General features: G+C 44.7%; 1 protein-coding gene and 1 long non-coding RNA gene across 2 annotated transcripts in view; one reads left to right on the top strand and one right to left on the bottom strand.

Moving 5' to 3' along the window:
• The window catches only part of LOHAN2 (lncRNA oncogene in head and neck cancer 2), a 34,592-nt gene extending 27,334 nt beyond the window's left edge, over positions 1–7,258 (top strand). The window contains exons 2-3 of the long non-coding RNA NR_038234.1: positions 5,955–6,092; positions 6,519–7,258. This is a non-coding gene — a long non-coding RNA (lncRNA oncogene in head and neck cancer 2). The remainder of the gene's footprint in view (positions 1–5,954; positions 6,093–6,518) is intronic.
• ZFHX3 (zinc finger homeobox 3) overlaps positions 1–25,070 on the bottom strand; it is a 1,109,046-nt gene that overhangs the window by 631,254 nt on the left and 452,722 nt on the right. The gene's annotated exons all lie outside the window — the stretch shown is intronic.

Below are 25,070 nucleotides of genomic sequence, written 5' to 3' on the forward strand. Positions count from 1 at the left end.
GTTACAAAGTAGTATATAAACTTAAGGCATAGACCTTCAAGTGTAGTTACTCCTTTTAGGTTACCTCTAGCTCCAACCATTACCTGAAAGGTAAATGAAAGGGACCATAATTCAGGGTATAACCCACACAGAGATAATTTCTACCTTTTAACCATTTATTGCTGCATCACAGATTATCGACCACCTACTATGTGCCAGGCACTATGTATGGAATTCACAGTACAGCAGTCACTAAGAGATGTTTGTCCCTGTCTGTAAAGAACTAAACTTACAGTTTAATCAGTAACACCAAATCTTCACTACAAGGTGGGACAAATTGGCCACTCGTTCTCCTACCCTCACTTTCCCTGTGATTCTCCAACTTATATTTACCAAAGCAGTTTTATTACAGTGATATTTCAAAAGTTCTTTATTTAAAAAGGGTAATTAAGAGGTAGGATCCCACTGGGGGAAATGAGAGGCCAAGATGAGAGAATTGCTTGAGCCCAGAAGTTTGAGACCAGCCTGAGCAACATAGGGAGACCCCCATCTCTACAAAAATTTAAAATAATCCACCAGGCATGGGGGCACGTGCCTATGGTCCCAGCTGCTTGTGAGGCTGAGGTGGGAAGAACTTGAGCCTGGGAGGTTGAGGCTGCAGTGAGCTGTGATTGCGCCACCGCACTTTAGACTGGGTGATAGAGTGAGATCCCGTCTGAAACAAAACAAAACAAAACAAGAGGCTGGATCCCAAACCAGTACATTCCTCTATTAGCCAGCAGAGGTGAGAACAGACTAGCTAGGAAAGGAGTTTCACAAGAACTGGCTCGAATAACCCCAGCTGGGGACAAATTTTGATTTTCCTCATCTCTGGATTCTTCTCTCTCTTTAACAAAGACCACTACCCATGATCAATTCCTGGGTGTCTAGCCCAATCCAGCATTCACAGTTCATTCCTGGGAGCCAAAGTTCCCTTTTGTAGTTCCAAATGTTTCTCTCTCAGTTTTTTATTTTATTTTTTTAAAATAATGACCGATGTTCTAAAATCAGCTAGCAAGATAGGCAAAATAATCAGTAATTTCTAATTGTATATTTAAAATATCAATACGAAGTGGTTCTGGGCTGCAAACCAGAAGAAACAGACTTGGCTTATAAGACATTAAGAAAATTTTTAGTCTTGAGGTCTGCATGTTTTGTGAGCTTTATATAGAGGATAAAAGTGAAACTTCAGCTTTTAAGCCATGCTGTTAAAAATTATATTTACATCCAGTATAATTCTGCAACCATTAAGCCTTAAATGGGTATTAAGCCTGATTCAAAGTAATGAAACAGATGGTGGAAACACACACTATGGATTCTTCAATCTGGGGAGAAAAGGGCTGATTCATCTGTTTCAAGGGCCAGGCAAAGATAAAAGACTTCATCCCAAATGGAGCTGCTTCCTCCTCAAACCTTAGCATTCCCTCCAATGTATTTCTCCGTGTGGAAAGTATTATTAATGTCAGTATCCCCAGTGCTTGTAAAAGATTCATAGGCCATTTCCTCCCCTTACTGAATTCCCCTGTCTGTCCCGTCACCGCCCCATGTTCGTTCATCTCACTGTTGGGCAGTTTGGTGACGCCAGTTGCAGATTCCATCACAACCCAGCTGCCTGTCATAGGATCACAGCATTTTAGAGCTGGAAGGGGCTTAGAGATGGCATTTTCAGAAGAGAAAATGGGGCTGGGCACAGTGGCTCATGCCTGTAATCCCAGCACTTTGGGAGGCCAAGGTTGGTGGATCACCTGAGGTCAGGAGTTCAAGACTAGCCTGGCCAACATGGTGAAACCCCATCTCTACTAAAAATACAAAAATTAGCTGAGTGAGGTGATGGGCACCTGTAATCCCAGCTACTCGGGAGGCTGGGGCAGGAGAATCGCTTGAACCCGGGAGGTGGAGGTTGTGCTGAGCCGAGAGATAATGCCATTGCACTCCAGCCTGGACAACAAGAGCAAGACTCCATCTCAAAAAAAAAAAAAAAACAAAAAACGGAAAACAAACAAACAAAAAACAGAGAGAAAACAGAAGCTCAAAGGACAGTGACTTGTTCAAAGTCACACAGTGAGCACAGACTGGGATCACTGTAGGCATTTTTATTCCTTTGCTTGTCTTCTTTCTCCTCTTCTTTCCCACTTCTGAAAATATTTACAGAATCCTTTATAGGGACCAGGGTGGGAAATTAGGAGAAATTCTACAAGGTGAGAATAAAAATGTTGTAGACAGTCAGCCCAAAGGTTGTGGGAGTGCTGATGAATAAAGGTAGATGGAATGGGAGGACTAGAAAACCAGTATTGGACTCATTCATTATGAAAATTAATTTCTAACTTTAGGGGGAACATGGAAAAGTCCCTGTGAGGATACCACAGTCATAAATGTCGTAGGCAAGACCGGTGCTGCCAGGGGTACTCAATTTAGCAGACGAAAGTTGAGAAGTCGGCCGGACGCGGTGGCTCACGCCTGTAATCCCAGCACTTTGGGAGGCCGAGGCGGGTGGACCACGAGGTCAGGAGATCGAGACCATCCTGGCTAACATGGTGAAACCCCCGTCTCTACTAAAAATACAAAAAATTAGCCGGGTGCGGTGGCGGGCGCCTGTAGTCCCAGCTACCAGGGAGGCTGAAGCAGGAGAATGGCGTGAACTCGGGAGGCGGAGCCTGCAGTGAGCCGAGATCGCGCCACTGCACTCCAGCCTGGGCGACAGAGCGAGACTCCGTCTCAAACAGAAAAAAAAGCAAGTTGAGGAGTAGGATATTATCATCATCTCAACGTACCTCCCAAAATATACTTAACAGTTTCAAAGGGAAAAACAGTAACTTTGCGGCATGAAAACCTGGCAGATACCACCTTACCCAAGTGACCAAAGGGACTATCAGTTATAAGCCAAACTGACATCACGCACCCCGCATATAATACCCTGAGAAGGGCACGTCACCTCTGCTATTGCTGCCCAAAACATACGCATGTCTTCGATCAAATCATGAGAACCTTCCTATACATTCTATCCAGTCATGGAGCAATACTTTTTCAAGTGTCCAGGTGTGAAAAACAAGGGAGGACTGAGAGGCTGTCATAGATTAAGGGAGCTGAAGGAAACACAGCTAAAAGCTGTCTTACATTTAGGATTGTGGATAGGATCCAAGAAACAGGACGTGAGTGAAAACACCGGTGAAATCCAAATACAATCTATACTTTGGTATTAGTATTGTACCCATTAATTAAGAAAAGGAATTTTTTCTTTTCTTTTTTTTTTTTTTTTTTGGAGACAGGGTCTTGCTATGTCGCCCAGTTTGTCTTCAAACTCCTGGGCTCAAGTGATCCTCCTGCCTCAGCCTCCTGAGTACCTAGGATTCCAAGTATGCACCACCATGCCCAGCCGATTTCCTAATTTTGATAGTTGCACCACAGTTATCTAGGATTTTTATCATTGGGGAAGTTGGGTGAGGAATACACAGAAACTCTCTGAACAATTTTTGCAAATTTTTTGTTGTCTAAAATAATTTAAAAATAATTTTTTAAAAAGGAAAAAGAGGCTGGGTGCGGTGGCTCACGCCTGTAATCCCAGTACTAGTACTTTGGGAGGCTGAAGCGGGTGGATCACGAGGTTGGGATATCGAGACCATCCTGGCTAACACAGTGAAACCCCGTCTCTATAAAAAATAAAAAATAAATAAAAAAATAAAAAATTAGCCGGGCATGGTGGCAGGCGCCTGTAGTCCCAGCTCCTCGGGAGGCTGAGGCATGAGAATGGCGTGAACCCAGGAGGCGGAGCTTGCAGTGAGCTGAGATCGCGCCACTGCACTCCAGCCTGGGCAACAGAGCGAGACTCCATCTCAAAAAAAAAAAAAAAAAAAAAAAAGGAAAAAGAAAAGGCTGTGGGATGCAAGGAAAGACAGTAAGTCATGGGATGGAGCTATAAAGCACAGCAGCTGACCATTCCTTCTAGAACCTTCTAAATCCTAAAAGATGGACAGAGGCCACTGGGAACTCGCTATTTCCCTTTTGGGTTAATCAGAACTTGTACGTTATTATAGCCATAACATTCACAAGTTAGATAAACTTCTGAGAATAAGCCCCAGGGCGTGGAAGGGATTAAGGAAGAGTCCGATTTCCTCATCAGTTGCAGCTGGTAGACGGTGGTACCAGGACTTCTGTTGAGTGACTTTGGGGCAGCCGCCCTACAGGCTCAACTCCCAGAAGCTACCTGGCCCGATCACCTGGAATAGGGAGTCCCCCTGTCACGGGAAAGGATGAGAAGTGGGTACCCAGGGAAGGAGTGGTGGGGGGAAGAGGACATCTTTGTTCAGGCTGTGTTTGTTCTACATAGTGTGTATATGTTTCTGACAATGAAATGTGTTCTTGGAAATGTCCCCTTCATTTATAGATGTATCACTGCAGAGTATGTGTGAGAAAAAGAAAGAGACATGTCAGAATCCCACAGACAACAGCTTAGCCCTGCCTTCCATTATATATACAAAGTGTTGTGTACGTTAGTGATACATTTGCAGAAGGGGTGGGAATGTGGCTTTGTCCGTATTTCCAAATGTAAAACAGGTCTCCCATCCCCTCTGTTTGGTTGTGGCTGTTTCCTTACAGAATGAAAATACTGGCATTGGAGGCACTGTTGCCAGAAACTTGCTTGGCAAAACATTTACATTCCTTTGTACATATATATAAACAAAATCACTTCTTCCAATGGATACTTTTTCACGTCCTCCCTGATTTCTGTGGTAATAATGACCACATTTGGCTCCAAACCTGGGGATGTGGTAGAGAAAGCCACCTCCCAATTCCAGATCCTGAAATCTCGTGGAAGATTAACATGGACGTCAAACTGACGTTACCAATTTAAGGGATTTAAACACTCAGCTCTAGAGTAAACAAAATCCAGTGGCAAGGTTTTGGACAACTTCAGCGACGTTTGACAACACAACCCAGATGTTGGGGAGTGCAAACCTTGTAAACGTAGGCTTTCCACTGTGTTCTGTACAAGCAAGATGTTGAGTGAGACAGACCGGCTAATGAAGGAAAGAAGTACTGATAATTATTGAGTGACTTTTATGGGGCAGATAGTATGCTAAGTGCGCCATAGACACTGTCTCACTCACCATTTGCAATGAGGTAGCTATTATTTATTGATATGGACATGAGGCTCAGAAATCTGCAATTTGCCTCACTTGGCAAGTGACAACATCAGTATTTGACTCATGTGAGTGTGACTTTAAAACCTTTGCTATTTCCAGAAGTCAACACTGACTGTATGTAACATTCCTTTGCTTAAAACCTCCCAGTTTCTCTCACTGCCACTAGATCAGTGACTGTCTCAGCTCAGCCTTTGATGCCTTGGTGGTGGCCCCTGCTGCCCCACAGAACTAAAAGCTATTTACGTAAGGCTGGGGCTCTCTTAAAAATGTGGTTCCCTCAGTCTTCCCACCTTTGCTAGCATTTACTATATGCCATATGATTTTTTTTTTGAGATGGGGTCTCGCTATGTTGCCCAGGCTGGACTTGAACTGCTGAGCTCAAGCCATCCTCCCACCTGCCTCAGCCTCTCAAATAGCTGGGATCATAGGTGCGCCCCTCCGTGCCCAGCTTTGGCTATGTGATTTCTTCATTCACAAGTCTGCCTGGGACTCCTTGTCCATAAGGGTGTTGATACTTTTTGAATCTAATGATACTATGTGCTTAGTGGTTAATACCTGCTTCTTGCTGAGTGAATGAATGAGAATTAACATATATATATATAGATAGATAATTTTTTTTTTTTTCTGGAGACAGGGTCTCACTCTGTCACCCAGGCTGGAGTCCAGAGGCGTGATCACAGATCACTGAAGTCTCGACCTCCTGAGCTCAAGTAATCCTCCCACCTCAGTCTTCCAAGTACCTGGGACTAAAGGCATGCACCACTACTCCTGGCTAATTTTTTGTACTTTTTCTAGGGACAGCGTTTCACTATGTTGTCCAGGCTTGTTTCAAACTCCTGGGCTCAAGCCATCAGCCTGCCTCAACCTCCTAAAGTGCTGACATTACAGGCATGAGCCACTGTGCCCAGCCAGGAAATGTTTCAAATACTTGAGGTAATAAATATTTTTAAATTTTATATAAGATTCTGTGTAAGTGCTATGAATGTTACAACTCATTGTGAATAATTTACTAAAGCAGAATTCCTAAAGATTCATATTAGATAGTATCTAATGGTTTTATTTCAGTGGTTCTGAGCTGGGGTTATTTTGACACCCCTGCCCAGGGGACATCTGGCAACGTCTTGAGACATGTGGGTTATCACCACTGCAGGGAAGGCGGCGTCGCTGGCATTATCGGGTAGATGCCAGGGATTCTGCTAAGCATCCTACAATGCCCTAGAAACTCCCTCCAATGCCAGTCCTCCCAAACAAAGCGCATATTGCCAAGACGGAATAACCCTGCTTTGTTTGATGTAATGACATGGCATATACTTGAAGGCAGTCAAACTACGGTTCATTTGTTTTTTTGTTTTATTTCAGATTTTTGATGAACCAAGCTGGCTGGTGTCGCCTCAGTTTGTCTAAATTACCAAGGACCGCTGGAATTTCCCTGGGAATATGTTTCGGGAAAGGTCAGAAACTCTTCAGTCGTCTTCACGCTTCCACTCAGTAGCAACGTTTTTGCACACTCATTGACTATCAACTGGTTGTCTATGACTCAAATTACATAATGAATCCAGCACATAAATTATTTACTCAGATTTAATGCCAGCAACTGTTATCTTTGTATTTTTTTCCCCTCTGCCAGCTAATCTGGCTCATTTCATTGGAATTTTGGTCATGCCCATTCTCCTTCTGCACTAAATTAACTCCATAACGTAGTATAAACAGAACAAGCTTGTGTGTGATATGCTTAACTGTTAATTTACCTAATTAAACTAATTCAATTAAATCATTTACATCTTTTTGGTAACATGCCAGTTGATACCACAGCAGAAGTGGGATGTTTCAGAAGATGATTGTTCAGCAAATGAATGGAAAAAAAAATAAAAGGAAAACAAAATGAGACAACCGTCCAAATCTCTTGGCTTGAAAATTAAATGATACTGAAAAAATGCAGCTTTCACGGGGCACTGTGATTAGATATTTTTCTGAAATCAATTTTCTCTACAAATTGGTATTTTAACAGAGTGATCACAATCTATTGTACAAAATATTTTAAACACTATTTGTACATTCACATATTTGGTATGTTTAAGTAAAGTGTGCTTGTTCCCACATTAAGGTGTGATTTGTGAAATGTTTTGTGATGCTAACAAGACGTGAACTGAGCAGATTCTTTTGAATGAATTTGCAAAATAATTTTGCTAAATTACATAAATATCTTTAGGATACATCCGTATTTCATTTATAGTCATCGTCTAAACATCCATACCATAGTGATAAATGTACAAAATGTACAACATTTTATGCCAGTAAAAATCAACAGAAAAAAAAGACAAGAAATTCTAGGCAGGAGAACCTAAACTGTCATCTTTGTGGAGCTCCATAAACCTCCTGTTTCATTTGACTGATACAGAATCTGCACTTGTGGCAGAACCTAGGTTTGTTGATGGATGGGCCACCCTAGTTTCATCTCTCCAGGGCTTCTGTCTGGGTGGGGGATGGGTTTGTTGGTCAGGATTTGGTTTTCTCTTCAGGAGCACACATGCCCAGGACAAAACTTGAGGCAAAGCCCTGCCTTGACTTATAATGAGGGAATAAAGCCCTAGATTGCATAGAACTTCAGAAAAGCCTACATGAAACCCACCTAGATTCCTCCATCTGAGCAAAGGCCTACAAGATTCCAGGACAAATCACAACATACAATAAGACCTGGCACCTGCTTGGAGCTTCCTCATGCAAAAGGTACATTTCCTCTACCACGCTTCCGGGGCAAACAGGCAGCACAGGTTATCTTCTGGATGTTCTTGCTTTCTACCTATTTCTACTTTAAATCCAAGCATCTTTTTCTTTTCTTCTCCCATTTAAGAAGCCCAAGAAGATAATTCATGGAAATAAAACAGGATGTTTTCAGAAGATTTTTTTTTTTTTTTCTATTTGGGAGGCCACCTCTGCAGATACTTTCCTCTGCTCAACCCTTGAATGGGGTCATCTGTCTTTACAAATCAATGGCTCCAGCATATCCTAAACATCCTGACAACAGAGCTTTGGAGGTTGGCAATAAAATGTCTGAAACTAATCTTCCTCCCACCACTCATGCTAAACTTATTCTTTTTTAGTAATACCAATTCCCTGAAGTCAGGGGCCACCCTGTCTATCCATTTCACAGCCCAAGCACAGTGACTGGCACACAGAAAATGCATAAATTATTGATTTCATAGTTAACAAAGAATAAAGAGACTTTTCCCCAAATCAAAGTCATTTTTCTCCCCAAAGCAACTTTCCCTTCCAACTTCCCAGAGGTCAGTGGCCTCATGACTTCTTAGCACCCAGACTTAGGTCTAGATTTACTGCCCAAAGGGTCAAATTTCCAAAGGCATTCACATTTCCTCTCAAATACTCATGTGCCTCCTTCCTCTGCCTCTTTGCTCTATTCCTTCCTCTTAATAATTGCAGTCATCCTCCCAACTCCCTCTACCACCTATGTCATTCCCAATCTCCATTGAATACTATGGATTTGAAGGAAACTGTGAAACAGACAATCCTCCTGGGTTAGTTTGCTTGGGCTTCCATAACAAAATAGCTCAGGCTGTAGAAATTCATTTTCTCTGTGAGAAAGAAGGCTACAGGTTCTGGGAGGGTAGACATCTGAGATCAAGGTGTTGGCAGGGTTGGTTTTTCCTGGGGCCTCTCTCCTTGGCTGTCTTCTCATTGTGTCTTCAAATGGTCTTCCCTCTGAGTCCTAATCTCCCCTTCTTTCTTATAAGAATCCCAGTCAAATTGGATCAGGCCTTACCATTCTAACTTAATTACCTCTTCAAAGACTCCATCCCCAAATCCAGTCCCATTCTGAGATACTGAGGGTTAGGACTTCAACATATGATTTTTTGCAGGGGCTGGGGAGGGACAAAATTCATCCTATAACACCACCCTTTGTTATTCAAGAGCTGTTAGGGAAAAAAAAATCAGAATTCCTTCAATTTTGCTGAGCATTGGACAGACACAGTTTTATAGCTAGACGACTAACATTTCCTCTTTTGCTCTCAGAGAGTGTTGGAGTCTTGGCTGCAGCTGACAAAGGTAACTGTTGCCTCAACTCCCAGTTCCCCTTCATCCTTTTTTGACTTGCCCTAGGGTCTTATCCTCCACATTCCACCACACTGGGTGCTGGTGAGACCGGGCAGACTGTGATCTCATGCATTTGTCAGTGATGCGTTTAGGTCTGGTCATTTGTCCCAATGGAAGGAAAGCCTGCTGAAGGATTCTGGGGAAAAGTTTGCTGTTAAGAGGTTTAGAAATTGGCTGGGCACAGTGGCTCATGCTTGTAATCCCAGCACTTTGGGAGGCCGAGGCAGGTAGATCACCTAAGGTCAGGAGTTTGAGAGCAGCCTGGCCAGCATGGCACAATCCTGTCTCTACTAAGAATACAAAACTTAGCCAGGCGCAGTGGTGCACACCTGTAATTCCAGCTACTCAGTGGGCTGAGGCAGGAGAATCGCTTGAACCTGGGAGGTGGAGGTTGCAGTGAGCTGAGATCACACCACTGCACTCTAGCTTGTGAGACAGGGTGAGACTCCATCTCAAAAAAAAAAAAAAAAAGTGAGAGAGATCTAGAAATTGATGCTTCCTTTGTATCTCTGGACAATATTGGGTCTCTGTGAGATGTTAATTTCTGTGCCAATATTACCATTCAAAGGGGACCTGAAAGAAGGGCCAGCTAACACATCAAGGAGAGCACTATCCGGAAGAAATGGAAAAATTTCTTGGTGACATCAATGAGCCACTGAATCCACCCATCTGAGAGCCCACCCTACCACTACATTTGTTGTTTGGTGAGACAAAACTGTTTCATATTATTTAAGCCACTTTGAAACAGATTCTTACTACTTTCACCCCGAAAGCATACTGACCAATAGAAAGGCTTCAGACCACTTACTAGTAGTCTCTCACTAGTCATGCTTCCTGACTCATTTGTAAAACAGAGGTAATGATACTTACTCTGTGGCATCACTGTGTAACTTGAGTGAAATCTGTCATGCAAGGTGCCCAACTCAGTGCCTCATAAGGAGAAAGTGTCTGAAACACAGAGGCCATTTCTAGCTTTTGCTCTTCCAGGGGCTTCTGGTAGCTTGAACATGGCTCACCTTGCACCTTCTGCATATGTACTCACAAGCAGAGCAACTCAACAATCTGGGCTACTGATGGTTTTGTTCACAGTACTTCGGGAGGCCCAGGTGGGAGGTTCACTTGAGTCCAGGAGCTCGAGACTGGCCTGGGCAACGTAGCAAGACCCTGTCTCTACAAAAAATGAAAAATTGGTGAGGCATGGTGAGGCATGGTGGTCCATGCTTATAGTCTCAGCCGCTTGGGAGGCTGAGATGGGAGGAGCACTTGAGCCCAGGAGGTTGAGGCTGCAGTGAGCTATGATTGCGCCACTGCACTTGAGTCTGGGAGACAGAGTGATACCCTGTGTCAAAAAAAAAAAAAAAAAAAAAAAAGAGAAAGAAAAGAAAAAAAAGAACTAGTATGAACTACTGACTTAAAAGTAATCACCATCTTTCACCATCTTTTTTTGTTTGTTTGTTTAAAGCAAAAGAGTTCGTTATTCTATAGAAATCTCCCTTTCCTGAAATTGTTCACTGGGCTGGACTTTCTTATCTGGAGCTTTCTAAAGCAGGACATGCCCATGAGGGGGTCTGATAACTGGGCCAAAGACCACCAGCGGGAGTGCGTCTTGCCTGTCCCCACCCTCTCTTCTTCTGTGTTTCTGTCACTGCCCTTTTCCTGCCCTCTCTGCCCTGACCAGTGCATAGCACCTAATATAGTGCTTTCCAATGGAATGATCAGCAAGTACTTCTTGAGCAAATGCTTGGCTGCAGGAAGCACTGTAGCAGGAGGGTGGAGAGGGAGAAGCTGGGGAAGTATATTCCTGGCAAGTACTTTGTAGACATCTATCTCTTTGGTTATCTCTCTCCCCAGTCTTGTGCCTTGGGATGCGTGCTGATGCTGGGGCCACTTGCAGGTACCCAGACAGCTCGGCCCTTACAGAATGATTATAGAAATACATACATAGGTACCTTACACACCTAGCAATTTATGAATTGCTTAATCTATGCCAAGCATAATACCCCAAGTTTTATAATCTCATATAATCGTCACAATTCTAAGGGCATGAAACCTATTTTATAGATGAAAATACTAAGGATCCAAGCGCTAAAGTGATTTGTCCAAGGCCTTATGGCTGGTATGTAGAAAAAGCCAAAAGTGAAACCAGAGCCTAGGTGTTTATAGCCAGGAGTTAATGGGTTTGATGGCTGTTCTATAGTCAGGGCATTGCAGGAAGACTCAAGGGTATGGCAGATGGGTCGAGCTGATGGACCCCTCTCGTGTGTGATGGAACAAAAGAAGCTCTAGGGGAGGAGGCATAATCATCTGGCTGTGGGCAGATCATAGAGATCCTGGCACTGTTTATCCATCTGAAAAATTAGCACACAGATATCAGCTATATCCTTCTCTTCAGATCATTGCGAAAATCAGATGGGTCTAATCTATCAAACCACTACCAGATTAAGGGACCATATCTTGTTCACTCTTGGAACACAGTAAGTGTTCAATAAATGAGAAACCCGTGAAAGAAAAATAAAGCCTACTTCCTTACCATTAAAAAAAAAATGCTTCTGCTTCTCCTCTGTCAACGGTGATCCTCTTTTTTTCACTTTTTCTTCCTTTTGTGTCCCCCTTCTTCCTTCCAGCCAACCCATAGCACTCACCCTTGGGCCCTGGCTGGCCACACCTCAGTGGGTACTAACTGGTGAGTCCCAGCTGGTGTGCACTGGGCCGCCCATGAGCCCTGGACAGCCTGGTTGTGATGGCCAGAGCTCACTGGTGACAAATGGGCTCTCTGTGCCTGTGACCTGGTGGGGCCAATTAATCACTGGGAGGTGCTCTTTCTGCATTATATATGGCCAAAAGCACCCCTTGGAGTCAGGGAGGACAAAGCTTTAGGAGGTTTTGTTTGTTTGTTTGCAAACTAGAGAGACAAAAAGGAGGTGACAAGGGTAGGGGGAGGTTTGAGAGAGAAAAAAGTAAAGGTCAAAAACTAAAATGGAGCAAGAAAGGTGATAAATGGCCTGGGCTGGAGGGTGGCTATCCTGTTTGGCCTCAGGAAATCACATTAATGGGGATCAGTACAGAACTGGTCAGAATTATGAAAACCATTCTCATAATGACAGAGTTTGAATGCAGTTCTGTAGCCAGAGTACCCAAGAATGTCTTCAAATTATAATCATAGGGTGTGTGTGTGCATGTGTGTGTGTGAGAGAGAGAGCCATTCATGCGTACGTGCACTGATGAAGAAATATGTGTATGTGGGAGGTTTGCAGGAAAAAAAAATATGACGGCTGCATGAGCTGCATATAAACCAACATGCTATTGAGAGATACTCATTACATCTGTTTTTAATCACAACATGTAAATGTGGGGAAAGCAGTCACTGCATACTCAAAAGATACACCTTGAAGATTCTTTTTGCATCCTCAGAAAGTGCCAGAATCTGCTGTAAGCAAAATCTCAGTGCAATCCAAGTCAGTGCCTTTTCCTTCCCCGAGTTCTGCCCACATGCATAAAGATGTCAACGTGTTGATTATTCTGATTAGACTTTTAGTGTAATTTACGGGGTCCAGTCATTGTGCCTGGGTGTCTGGCCTGCACTTGCTACCCTGACGATGCCATTTTTAAAATGTCAGCTCAGCCATGATTCATGGCTGATGCTGGTGACATTGCTGCTGACCTGAAAGAGTTAGGCAGCAATATTTAATTAAAGCAAAAAAAGAGGAGAAGAAGAACAAGCCAAAGGAAAGTAGAGGGCAAAACCTAAAAAGAACTAAATTTTGTTGCTGGAAAGATCAGCATCTCCAAACAAGGAAGAGGCACTACAAATGCAATATATTGTCACTTATTTGTGGCTCTGTGTCTACCTATCATTTGTGAGTGGTAAGGTCATGTGTAATGAGTGAGACAGTTGTTTGCATCCCATTCACCATCATTCTGGGGCCCTCATTCCCTCTCTCTGTGGGGATTTGCTAGGAGGTGGAGCTATCACTGCCTCTGGCTTTTGTCCTCACTGTGTGTGTATCGGCAGCCTGCCTGCCACCCAGCTCGCTAACGGCAGCAGTACCTGGGCACCAGCTACCTGCTCCCACCCAGATAGCCTCTTCCCAGCTTGCAAAAGGCCATGCTCATTTCCAAGCTTCTAGCTCCAGGATGCTGTGCAAGACCTAGGGTGAAATGAGTCCTGTGCCCTGCACGTTGGTGGTACAAATCCAGCCCTACCAGCAGCAACAGTAGCCACTGACTAGCATTAAGATAGGTACTTGGCTGGACAAAGTGACTCATGCTTGTAATCCTAGCACTTTGGGAGGCCGCCGTGGGCAGACCACGAGGTCAGGAGTTCAAGACCAGCCCGGCCAATATGGTGAAACCCTGTCTCTACTAAAAAAAAAAAAAATACAAAAATTAGCTGGGCGTGGTGGCGCACGCCTGGAGTCCCAGCTACTCGGGAGGCTGAGGCAGGAGAATCACTGGAACCCGGGAGGCAGAGGTTGCAGTGAGCCAAGATTGTGTCACTACACTCCTGCTTGGGCGACAGAGCGAGACTCTGTCTCAAAAAGAAAAAAAACCGAAACAGGTACTGCCCCAGGCCTCGTGAATTTATTTAAGTGGGACACAAATTATCCCTTAGAACACACACACATGCATGCACACACGTAGACACACACATATTATTTGGGAGGTCTACTAAGCCGGGTCCCTTTGCCAGGAATGAAAGGACAGAATTTCTCATTAATGGGAAGGCCACAGTGAGCTGAGGTTTGAGAACCAGAACCAGCCTTTGTCCAGGCCTGCGGGAGCCAGGCTATTGTCTTCTAGGTTCCCCTTCCCCAGTGACCCCAGGGTCGGGGGCACACATGCCGGCCTTGAACTCTCCGTCTGTCTCTCCCACCATATTAATTACTACTCCCTTTGGTCAGGCTAAGAAAACAGCCTCAACTGCATTAGGACTAATTAAGAAGAGTGAGCTTCCCATTCTGGCAGCCTGCATCGGTCCATGCAATGCACGAGCCAGGAAGGGGCCCTGACAATCTTATTACCACAGAAGAAAACACCTCCCCGCGCTCCCTCGAACCCCCGACAGTGAGTTCACCTCTTCCATTACAAATGCATTTGCCCCCAGCCACCAGCCACCAGCGAGGACAGCCTGGGTCAGCCAGGCATGCAGGGTCGAGGAATAGCCATGTTTCCTTAAACCGAGGGGAGTTAGCAGAGCAAATGCAGGGTCATGTCCATTTATAACTCCATCTGTTGCCTTCCTCCTCCCTCCCCACCATAAATAAATTAATAGACAGACAGAGAGATAGAATAAATATGGATCACTACAAGTCATTATCCCTTAAACCTGCCACGCTCTCCATTGAAGCTCACACATTTACAACCTGCTCAGGAGTTGAATCCAATCCTCTGGATTCCAGAGGGTCTGAGGCCCTTCTATAAGGATCTGAAGACAGTAATTATTGGAACTGTCTTCTCTATTGCGTTCTTCCCGTCAGCCTCACCATGTTAAATATCCAGTGAATACTGCAGGGGCCTCCAACAGACTCCAGCCACTGCTTGCTCCCATTCTTCCTTCACGAGGCCACCAAAGTCATATTCTAAAGGACATCCAGGTATGCCACTGGCCTGGTTTACACAACACCCTGTGGACCCCTCCATGTCTAGAGGAAAACCCTTAGCATGGTTTACAGGCTCTTTACACCTGGGGCAGGGCCCTCCTTCCTTTTTCATCTTTTGTCAATTTTTATAGGCCATATCTAGCAACTCTCCCAATCACCCTACTCTGGGGATAGCAGCACAGAAGTTCTATGGTTCAAGAGAGCAAAGTAGGTAAAGTAAGCTATAGGAGAGTGAAGCCGATAGAGTCCAGCCTTCCCCCATGCCCAAGGGGACAGCTGCTACTCACCTCCTATCAAATGTCATTTGGAAATAAAGACCTTCAGATATATATATAATTTTTATGAGATGGAGTCTCACTTTGTTGCCCAGGCTGGAGTGTAGTGGTGCAATCTCGACTCACTGCAACCTCCGCCTCCAGGGTTCAGGCAATTCTCCTGCCTTAGCCTCCTGAGTAGCTGGGATTACAGATGCCCGCCACCATGCCCGGCTGATTTTTGGATTTTTAGTAGAGATGGGGTTTCATCATGTTGGCCAGACTGGTCTTGAACTCCTGGCCTCAAGTGATTCGCCTGTCCTGGCCTCCCAAAGTGCTGGGATCACGGGCATGAGCCACCGCACCAGGCCAAGACCTTCGGATTTTTTTAAGCCAATTTTTAAAAATGTAAAATTGCCAGATTTTAAACGTTGAGAACTAATTAAAATTTGAAGATGGAACAAAATATGTCGACCCATAGGCCCCCGGTGGGAACTCTGCTCTCTAGTCTGGTTGTCCCTACCAGGCTGCTCACAGCTCCCTGGGAAAACCATCCTCGCTCCCCCACAGATGGCTTGGGGCTCTGCCTTCCCTGACTTGTGTAATTGATGAGAGCCTTCTCTTCCACTCTTTTCTGTTGGTTCGAGACAGGGCCTTGCTCTGTCGCCCAGGCTGGAGCGCAGTAGTGTGATCTCTGCTCACTGCAGCCTTGACCTGCTGGGCTCAAGCGATCCTCCTGCCTCAGCCTCCCAAGTAGCTGGGATATAACATGCACCACCACACTTGGCTAATTAAAAAAATTTTTTTTTGTAGAGACAGGGTCTTGCTATGTTGCCCAGGCTGGTCTCCAACTCCTGGCCTCAAGTGATCCTCCCTCTTTGGCCTCTCAAAGCACTGGGATTACAGGCACGGGTCACCCTGCTGGCTCTCCTCCACTCAACTCATTACAACCTGCCATCCACTGCCTTGGCTTGAGGTTGCCAGGTACACTAGAATGCCCAGTGCCATTTGCATTTCAATTAACAATGAATCCATTTAATTAAAGAATGCCCTAAATATTGCATCAGACATACTTAAACTAAAAATGATGCAATATCTAAAATTTAAATGTATATGGGTGTCCTTTATTTCCTCCACTAAACCTGGCAAAGCTACCTCAGCTACACCACACCCACCTTACATTCTTTCTGGGCACTGTTCTAGGTGCTGAGGACACAGCAGGAAACAAAACAGATCAAAAGAAAATCCCTTTGCACATGGCGCTTCTGCGGGCAGAAGAGAGGGTTTCCTCTTCTATTCCAACATCATTTTGGCTCAAGAGTTATAACAGGAGTAGGAACAAGAAGCATTGGGTTGGAGCCCTGGCTCTTCTGCCTGTCATTTGTGCTGCTGAGCCTGTGGGGGTATTAATGTCCCCATCACTGAAATGGGGCAACAGTGCCTTTGCTGCAGGTCATGAACAGGGGAGGTGACACATACACACTTAGGACAATGTCTGGCATGAAGTAAGTGGCCAGTGCATTGAACCAGGTGACACATGGCACTATTTCTTAATCGTTTCCATTTCTGTGACCCACTTAGCCCAAAAAGTCCCTCAAAGGAAGGGATGTTGCGCTAATTACCTTTGTGTTTCCAGTGCCCAGCACATTGTTGGGACATACTGGGGACAAAATGGGTCAGCTAGTGGGTCACAATTGTGCCTGCTCTAGAACATAAGGTGTGGATGTTCACTGTCTCCATAGAAGTAAAGAGAAATGGAAATTTGAAGCAAGTTTTGTGATAAAGAAGGACAAACATCTAATTACAGAGAAAGAGTGGATTTCTTTTTAGCCTGAATTATGCAATTTGTCTATTAACCCTAAACGGCATTGACAGAAAATTCACCTTGCTTTTCCTTTATACATGCTAAGGTAGTCTGTTTCTAGGGATACTCTTAAAAATAAAGCACTCTAATTTTTATGGGAATCTGTTTTTTTGTATTTTTTTTTTTTATGTCAGCCAGGCACGGTGGCTCACGCCTGTAATCCCAGCATTTTGGGAGGCTGAGGCGGGCGGATCACCTGAGGTTGGGAGTTCAAGACCAGCACGATCAATATGGTAAAACCCCATCTCTACTAAAAATACAAAAATTAGCCGGGCTATGGTGGCATGCACCTGTGATCTCAGCTACTCAGTAGGCTGAGGCGGCAGAATCACTTGAACCCAGGAGGTGTACGTTGCAGTGCGCCAAGATCACACCACTGCATTCCAGCCTGGGTGACAGAGGGAGACGCTGTCTCAAGAAAAAACAGTCTTCTGATTATAAAAGTACATATATATTCCATAAATGTTCCATTATTTATAAATTTAATTACTGATTGTTAGACATGCAGTTAATCCCAGTTTTTATTATTTAGAATAATGATGTAATGAATATCTTTTATATACAATTCCATGATTTATTTCCTTGGGAGAGAAAATCCCAGCAATTTGGTCAAAGGGATGTACTTTGATTACAATACTGGAAATGTATTAAGTACATGGCCCCCAAGAATCCTCAAACCAAGTGTAAGGAGGCAGGCGATGGCCTTCACGGGACAAGCTGGGGTCTCCCAGTAGTGTCATTGGAGGTGAGTCTCTGTGTCTGGAGAAGCAACTAGACCTTGGGACTCTAGTTTCATCCCCGAGATTCTCCTCCATTTGACAAGGGGAATGTTTGGGTTTGAGTTTATGAAGGCAGCGTGTTGCTCTCTTATACCAAGAGGTTCTTCAGAACTGCTGAGTTCTGAGTTCCGAGGTCACCCTGAGCACAGGGGAAATTTTCATCTTTAAAATAAAAATCCGTCTCCGCCTAGGTATGGATGAAGATTTCTGTCTAAGCACAAGAAATAGAGTCTCGTGGTCTTCAAACTTTTTACAGTCTCAGAGCCTTGTTTTCAAAAGAAATTTGATACTAGGGATAGCAAATGCATGGTTTCTAGGCCATTATTCTCTCATCCTGTACCTACTGATTACAGTGCTCTCTCTCTCATACATCCAAGACTTGGCCTTGGGGTCTTCCACACAGCAATCTAGGCAGCCCCTATTAGGTGGCTGGAGTTAGCATATAACTCCATTTGATAGACTGGATATTGAAACAGACAATATAAAGCAGATCAATTGGAGTGAGACTCTTTGACAAAGGGGTGAGGAGTCCAGAGCCCAACCCACTTCCTTCCCCTCTGAAAAGACTCTTGGGAATCCTATGTGATCCACTGATCTAGTTGATCTGTTCTTATCCCTCCAAATCCCAGCACTTCAAGATTCATGCATTCTGTTATTCACATATGAAGAGAATGTTTCCCATATGCAAGAGCTGTTGTTTGTCACCTCATGCCTCTTTGCCATGTAATTCCTGTTCACTGGATCAAGGTATAAGTAGAAGCCATTAAGATACAGAAAGACCCACTGCTGCACCCACAGCAATGTCAGCATCAGGGACTGAGCAGCAGAAACCGTCTGTGATCCTAAGAGCATCTTAGAATCGCTCTGTGTGTTTTTCTTCTTCTTTTTTTTCTACCTTGGGCTGCAAGAGGCTACACAAGGCTCCGGATAGATGGGTTTTATTGAAGTCATTTCAAGCTCCCCTGCCTCCCCACAGCTGACCTGACAGAGACAGTTAAGAATCATCTAATTAAAAACACTGATCATTGCAGTACCAACTAGATCATATTGAGATAATCACTCTACTAGCTCCCAACGAGGTCCTGCTGAGAATAACTCCTGGCCAAGCCACAGGAGGGAGAGGCTGGGGCCTCGCCACTGTCCTAAGAGCCCTGCTGTGTCCCTGGCTTTCTCTCCTGGCTGGGGGGATGGAAGGGACAGGCAGGACTATTTATTCAGCTCAAGGTCCTCCGTGGAGTAGAGCATCTAGGCAGGTCGGGGCCTGCTGCCATGGAGCTGCCACTGAGTATTACTATCACTCCAGACAGCGGCATGTCCCCTGCAAGAGAGATTTGAAACCCCACAAGCTCAGCCCTCCACCCCCTTGTTCTCCCAGACTTATAAAAATAGGAAGAACACATGTTCCCATTAGTCACTTGCTTGAGGGCTGCTGTGGGGTATATGCACGCAGCCTGTACACTGGAACCAAATTTGAATATCATTTGCATCTTGCAGGTAGACAATAGATACCGCATCAAAAACATGCACAGCACCCCCTCCTCAGCAAGGCGCCCAATGAGGCAGACCAGATGACATTTCCTGGGAACAAGGACTATCGTTTATAAGTTTTCAAATCCACTTGATAAGGCCCCTCCTGGCAACCGACGCCCACCCCAGCTGGAGAGGCATTCTGAGAGGCTTTTAATTAAACTTTTGCTTGCCAAGAGCAGTTTGCATACACACAGGGGGACCATGCTCCTAGGGGAGCCATAAAGCCTGCCACTTTCTTTGCCTCTGTGTGTCCTTAACTCTCTGGGGTTACGAGGCAGACGCCCAGCCTGTACTGGCAATGATGCTTCTGGAAGGGCCTGGGGAGTGAGCCTGCAGCGGCAGACAGAGCTGAGCCCACTCTGCGGCTGCACGGTGCCTACTGGGTGAGCCGTGGCTTCCCGGCCGCCTGGGTGACTCCCAGGGCAGTGGCCAGAGTAAAAGCCAGAGAGGACGAGGCTGCACTGGGGTTATGTCATGGCACAGCCAGAGGGAGAAAGACTGGAAAAGCCTTCAGACCCCACAGGTGGCTTAGTTATTGACTTGCGTGTCCCTTCTGGGAGGGGGGCGAGCTGGAAGAGGAGGCGTCCTTTGTGGCTCTGACCTCCCTTGACCTGACCTTTGTAACTCTATCAGGACTAGTGGTCAGTAGTTATCAACTGTCAATAAACCGCCCAAACACACACTGTAATTCAGAATACGGGGAGGCCCATCTATTTGCTGATCGATCTTGGACTCGAAAGTTGACAAAATGCAGGGTCCCTTGTCTTCTTATCATAATATTGAAAATATGTGCTGCGACACATTGAATGATCTACACTTCTCGTGCCCCACTCCTGGGGCCCTTAGTAAATACAAGAGGATTGATTGAGATGAAAGGTGAACGGGAGGTCTGTGGTGTTCCTCTAAGGAAACCAAAGCCCCTGAAGCAGGGACTGAGGACTAATTAGTCCATCTCATTAAGTTTATCTACTAAGGTCCTATGGAAACAGGCTAGGGCTACCCTGCCCCAGTTATCTGCTTCATTTAAAAACAATCTGCATCTGCTTGAATAACTGAGGCAAAAACAGACTTTGGAGGCTTTAATGATGTATTTTAATAGAAATTTCAAGTTCCTGGCTTCTCTCCCTACCCCTTTCCACTTGACTTTGTGCTGTGTTGACTCATCTATGGATGGTGTTTTTTTTTTGTTGTTGCTTTTTCCTGCAGAAAACAACAATGTGTTTTTGGAGGTGATCAGATAACATCATTGAGGTTGATCTCAAGATGTGGAACAGTGGGCTGGGAGTGCTGGGCTGGCCTTCTGTTCTCCAGTTGCTGGGACAATGGTGGAGGTGAGGAAGGTCAGTGACTTCAACAGTCCTCTAAGTGGGTCTGACTGAGGTACCCACTCAAACTGGGAAAACAAGCAGCTTGGCTGACGCCGTCCAGTCAGTGGCCGGCATGGCTATTTACACGGGGCATTGCAAGTAAGAGTCACACCTGCCTACTAGAGTCGTGGGGTGGATTAAATGAATGAATACCTCTGCAATGCATCAATAGTGCCTGGCAGGAAGTAAATAGGACTCAATACATGTTATCAGTGATATTATGATGTTATTAGGATTGTGGAATCATCCTCATTATTGTTTGAACTGGCTGGCTGGCTGGCTGGCTGGCATTGTGTTCAGCTTTCAGGTGCACCTAGGCAGAGATTTCCCAGGTCACACCTGCATGATGGATTGGCACAAAGGAGGTAAAGTAGGTTTCTCAGGCTTGGGACTCTTGATATTTTGAACCAATTCATTCTTTTTTGAGACAGAGTTTCGCTCTTGTCACCTAAGCTGGAGTGCAGTGATGCGATCTCGGCTCACTGCAACCTCCACCTCCCGGGTTCAAGTGATTCTCCTGCCTCAGCCTCCTAAGTAGCTGGGACTACATGCGCCCACTACCAGGCCCAGCTAATTTTTGGTATTTTTAGTAAAGATGGGATTTTGCCATGTTGGGCAGGCTGGTCTCGAACTCCTGACCTCAGGTGATCTGCCTGCCTCGGCCTCCCAAAGTGCTGGGATTACAGGTGTGAGCCACAGCGCCTGGCCCAATTCATTCTTTGTGGTGGGGCTGTTCTGTACTCCGTAGCAACTTGTGTCCTTAGATGCCATTAGCACTTCTCTCCCCTCATTTGTGACAACCAAAATTACCTCCCAGGCATTGTCAAATGTTCCCTGAAGGGCAAAACTGCCCGGGATGAGCAGCTCTGGGATAAAGCCATGGTCAGGAGTCACAGTTCCCATTTCGTGTCTCACCTGCTATCCTAGAACCAAGGCCTCCACTCAAGTTCTCCCCTGTTCTGAGTTGGGGCTCACAGGTACTCACCAATGAGTCACCCTCAGGACCTTAGGAATCTGCTATTTGGGGTCAGGGGTATCTGCTGCTGAAGCCTGGGCGGCCTCTGCAGACCTCAAGGGCATCCTGCCTGGTGTCTGCACCAGAGCCCTGTTACCTGCTGAGGCTCACTGAATGGGTGGTGAGTTCTCCCACGGCCCAGTGCACTAGGGATGGCTGCTGTTTTAGTCCGTTTTCTCACTGCTGATAAAGACACACCTGAGACTGGGTAATTTATAAAGAAAAAGAGGTAGCCCGGCGCGGTGGCTCACGCCTGTAATCTCAACACTTTGGGAGGCCGAGGTGGGCAAATCACCTGAGGTTGGGAGTTTGAGGCCAGCCTGACCAACACGGAGAAACCCTGTCTCTACAAAAAATAGCTGGCCATGGTGGCACATGCCTGTAATCCCAGCTGCTTGGGAGGCTGAGGCAGGAGAATCGCTTGAGCCTGGGAGGTGGAGGTTGTGGTAAGCCAAGATCACACCATTGCACTCCAGCCTGGGCAACAAGAGTGAAACTCCGTCTCAACAAAAAAGAGGTTTAAGGGACTCAGAGTTCCATGTGGCTGGGGAGGCCTCACAATCATGGTGGAAGGTAAAAGTCACGTCTTACATGGCAGCAGACAAGAGAGAATGAGAACCAAGTGAAAGGGGTTTCCCCTTATAAAACCATCAGATGTCGTGAGACATATTCATTACCAGGAGAACAGTATGGGAGAAACCACCCCCACGATTCAGTTATCTCCCACCAGGTCCCTTCCACAACACGTGGGAATTATGGGAGCACAATTCAAGATTTAGGTGCAGACACAGCCAAACCGTATCAGCTACCCACCCACTGCCACTGCTACCAGGGTTATCAAGAAGCCATGAATTCTGCTACCATCAACTCACCAGGACCTCCCCTTGCTTTGGCTGTGCTGTTCTTTGTGACTTTGATGCAAGGAAGCCAGGTGACATCCTGGCTGAAGTCAGGGGAGGGTGGGGTGGGGAATGGCTTCCTTCCTGTTTGTTTGTCTCTATGCTCTGGTAGATGGACACCAAAGTGATCCCGTCTTCTCCCTGGATGAGGCATAGAGCTTCCCAAGACCCTCCAGTGACACAGACTCCCCTGAGTTCTAAATCACACCTTTCTTCCCTCCACAGATGCCTTGAACTTGATTCAAGCTGGTCTTGCTTCTCTTAGATTGAAGCTTCTTCAGTTGTTTGGCTAGACAGGCTCTGGGGAGGCCTGGAGCTCAGCAGTCTGCCTGACACCGCAATCTGGAAGCTCTGATGTGTAGGAAGCACACGACTTCTTACAAATAGTAGAAACTTAATTTTGGAGTAATATTAGGATGGTGCAAAAGTAATTGAGGGTTTTGCCATTATTTTCAAAGGCAAAAACCGCAATTGCTTTTGCACCAACCTAATACCGTATTTTGCAGATGAAAAAACTTAGGGCCAGAGAGATTAAATGACTGGTTCAAGGTCACACAATTAACTAGTAACAAAGGCAAGGACAAAATGCTCAGTTCCCTTTTTGGTGTCTATATTTAACTAGCAAACTACAAAAAGTATTATACCAATTAACTAATTTTAGGAAAGGGATTTTGTATAACATGCCTTTTTATCTGACATTGGAATAGGGGGTTTTCATATGTTATTGTGGTGGGAAATTGAAGCGTATCCCTTCATGCCTCAAAGCATTATTTTTATTTTAAATATTTTCAATGAAATATTCCTAAGACACATTAAATGAGACTCCCCCAAAGATTTTTACCTCATCAGTATTAGTGTGTGCATTTTGTGTTACATCCTTTTCTTCCTATAGAAGACATTTCCCCCCATTACTTTTGACATTTACATTTCATTCCAAATAGTCAAAATTACTATATATAATTTCTACATAAATGACATAATTATTATTATTGGTATTTTCACCAACAAGTCTATGTTTACTAGTATGTGGAGGCTAAAACTGTTTCCAAGTGGGAAATATTAATCAAAAGAAAGTCAAATCTCGCTATTTTCCAGGTCTGCCCTGTTTGCAAAGTTTCCCCATTATGCATGAATGCGTTTTAAGTTTTCAAAATATTTGCAAACCAAAATGGTCCTTGCAAACTCTTCTGTAGTCTTTCTTATCATCATGCTACTTTCTGAAGCCATTGGACACCAGCTGTAATAAGGATGATATTCTCTTTCAACATCAGTGTTCAACTTTTTACTTGGCATCTTTTTCTTGAGTTGGGTGTTCTAATAGAGTTTGATTTGAAAGTCAAGTGGTTCTGGGATCGCTCTAAACCTAAAAAAAAAAATGGCAAATGTGGGTCCATCAATTTTATGTCCAAGGCAGAGGAATGTCAAAAGTGTATTTGCCTAACTCTCTGGTTCCAGTTTATCGCTCTCTCCCCTGCCTGCAACTCGTAGCTCCAGAGAATTTCAGCTCATCAAGAAAAAGTACAGAATAAGGCTTGATGACATTATCACAAAGTCAGATTAACAGCAAATGGAGGAAAACAAAAATGGGCTCTTCCCTGGTAGAGATGTTTCTCTGCAGAAGGGTGGATGCTGATAATGCAGTCACTGGGATAAGTCCTTCAATCACTATGAACTCATAATGGCCCAAATGCAATCTTGGGCATTTGAACCAAAGCAACAAAAATCAGAAAGAGAGAGCATGTGAAGCAAGTTACAAAACACACATAACTAGATAAAAGAAATAATCATCCAAATGTATTTTGAACTGTAACGCATTAATACTTTTCCATGTTGACAGGGAAAAACAATAAACATCAAATGCAAGTTATATTACGCATCTATGCATTGCCTCTGGATTGTACAAAGTTCAAGAAAGAAGCAAAATTCTTGATATAGTGATAAAGTAGAGGAATAATCACATTAATGATAACCCTTAATTATTATTACTAAATTTGTGTTAAATTAGAATTTCAGAACCTCCAAACTCTTTCCTTATTTTCAGCATCCTCTTGAAAATTTGAGAATAAAATGTGTGGTAATTGCCCCAACAATTTTCTTTTTGGAAACTTCCTACCTACCTAGAGAGTGACAGTGTTTTCCAATGGAGAGAAAATCAGACTCACAAAATAGCAAGAGAAGCGACAGCCAGGACCAGAGACAAAGGTGACAGAGGCCCAAAGCAGTGAAGCCAGCAGTTCCCATTGCACTGAGAGTGCAAACCTGTGAGTGATAGAATGCCAAAAAGGAAAGGATGGAGATTTGGACAAGAGCAGCACATCTGTCTCAGACCATCACAGGATACAACCTGGGGGGTTTTTGCCTTCCTCCCTAAACCAAAGCAAATTAATAGAACCTAGCTTTCTCTTTCCTGGAAAACTCTCTGAGGGTCTAGTGTCAGCAATAGAGGCGGGGTGAGAAATCCATCAGCTGTGTTACTTGCTAGAAAGTTAGAAG

The sequence above is a fragment of the Homo sapiens genome, chromosome 16 (assembly GCF_000001405.40).
Source record: "Homo sapiens chromosome 16, GRCh38.p14 Primary Assembly".
Lineage (NCBI taxonomy): Eukaryota > Metazoa > Chordata > Mammalia > Primates > Hominidae > Homo > Homo sapiens.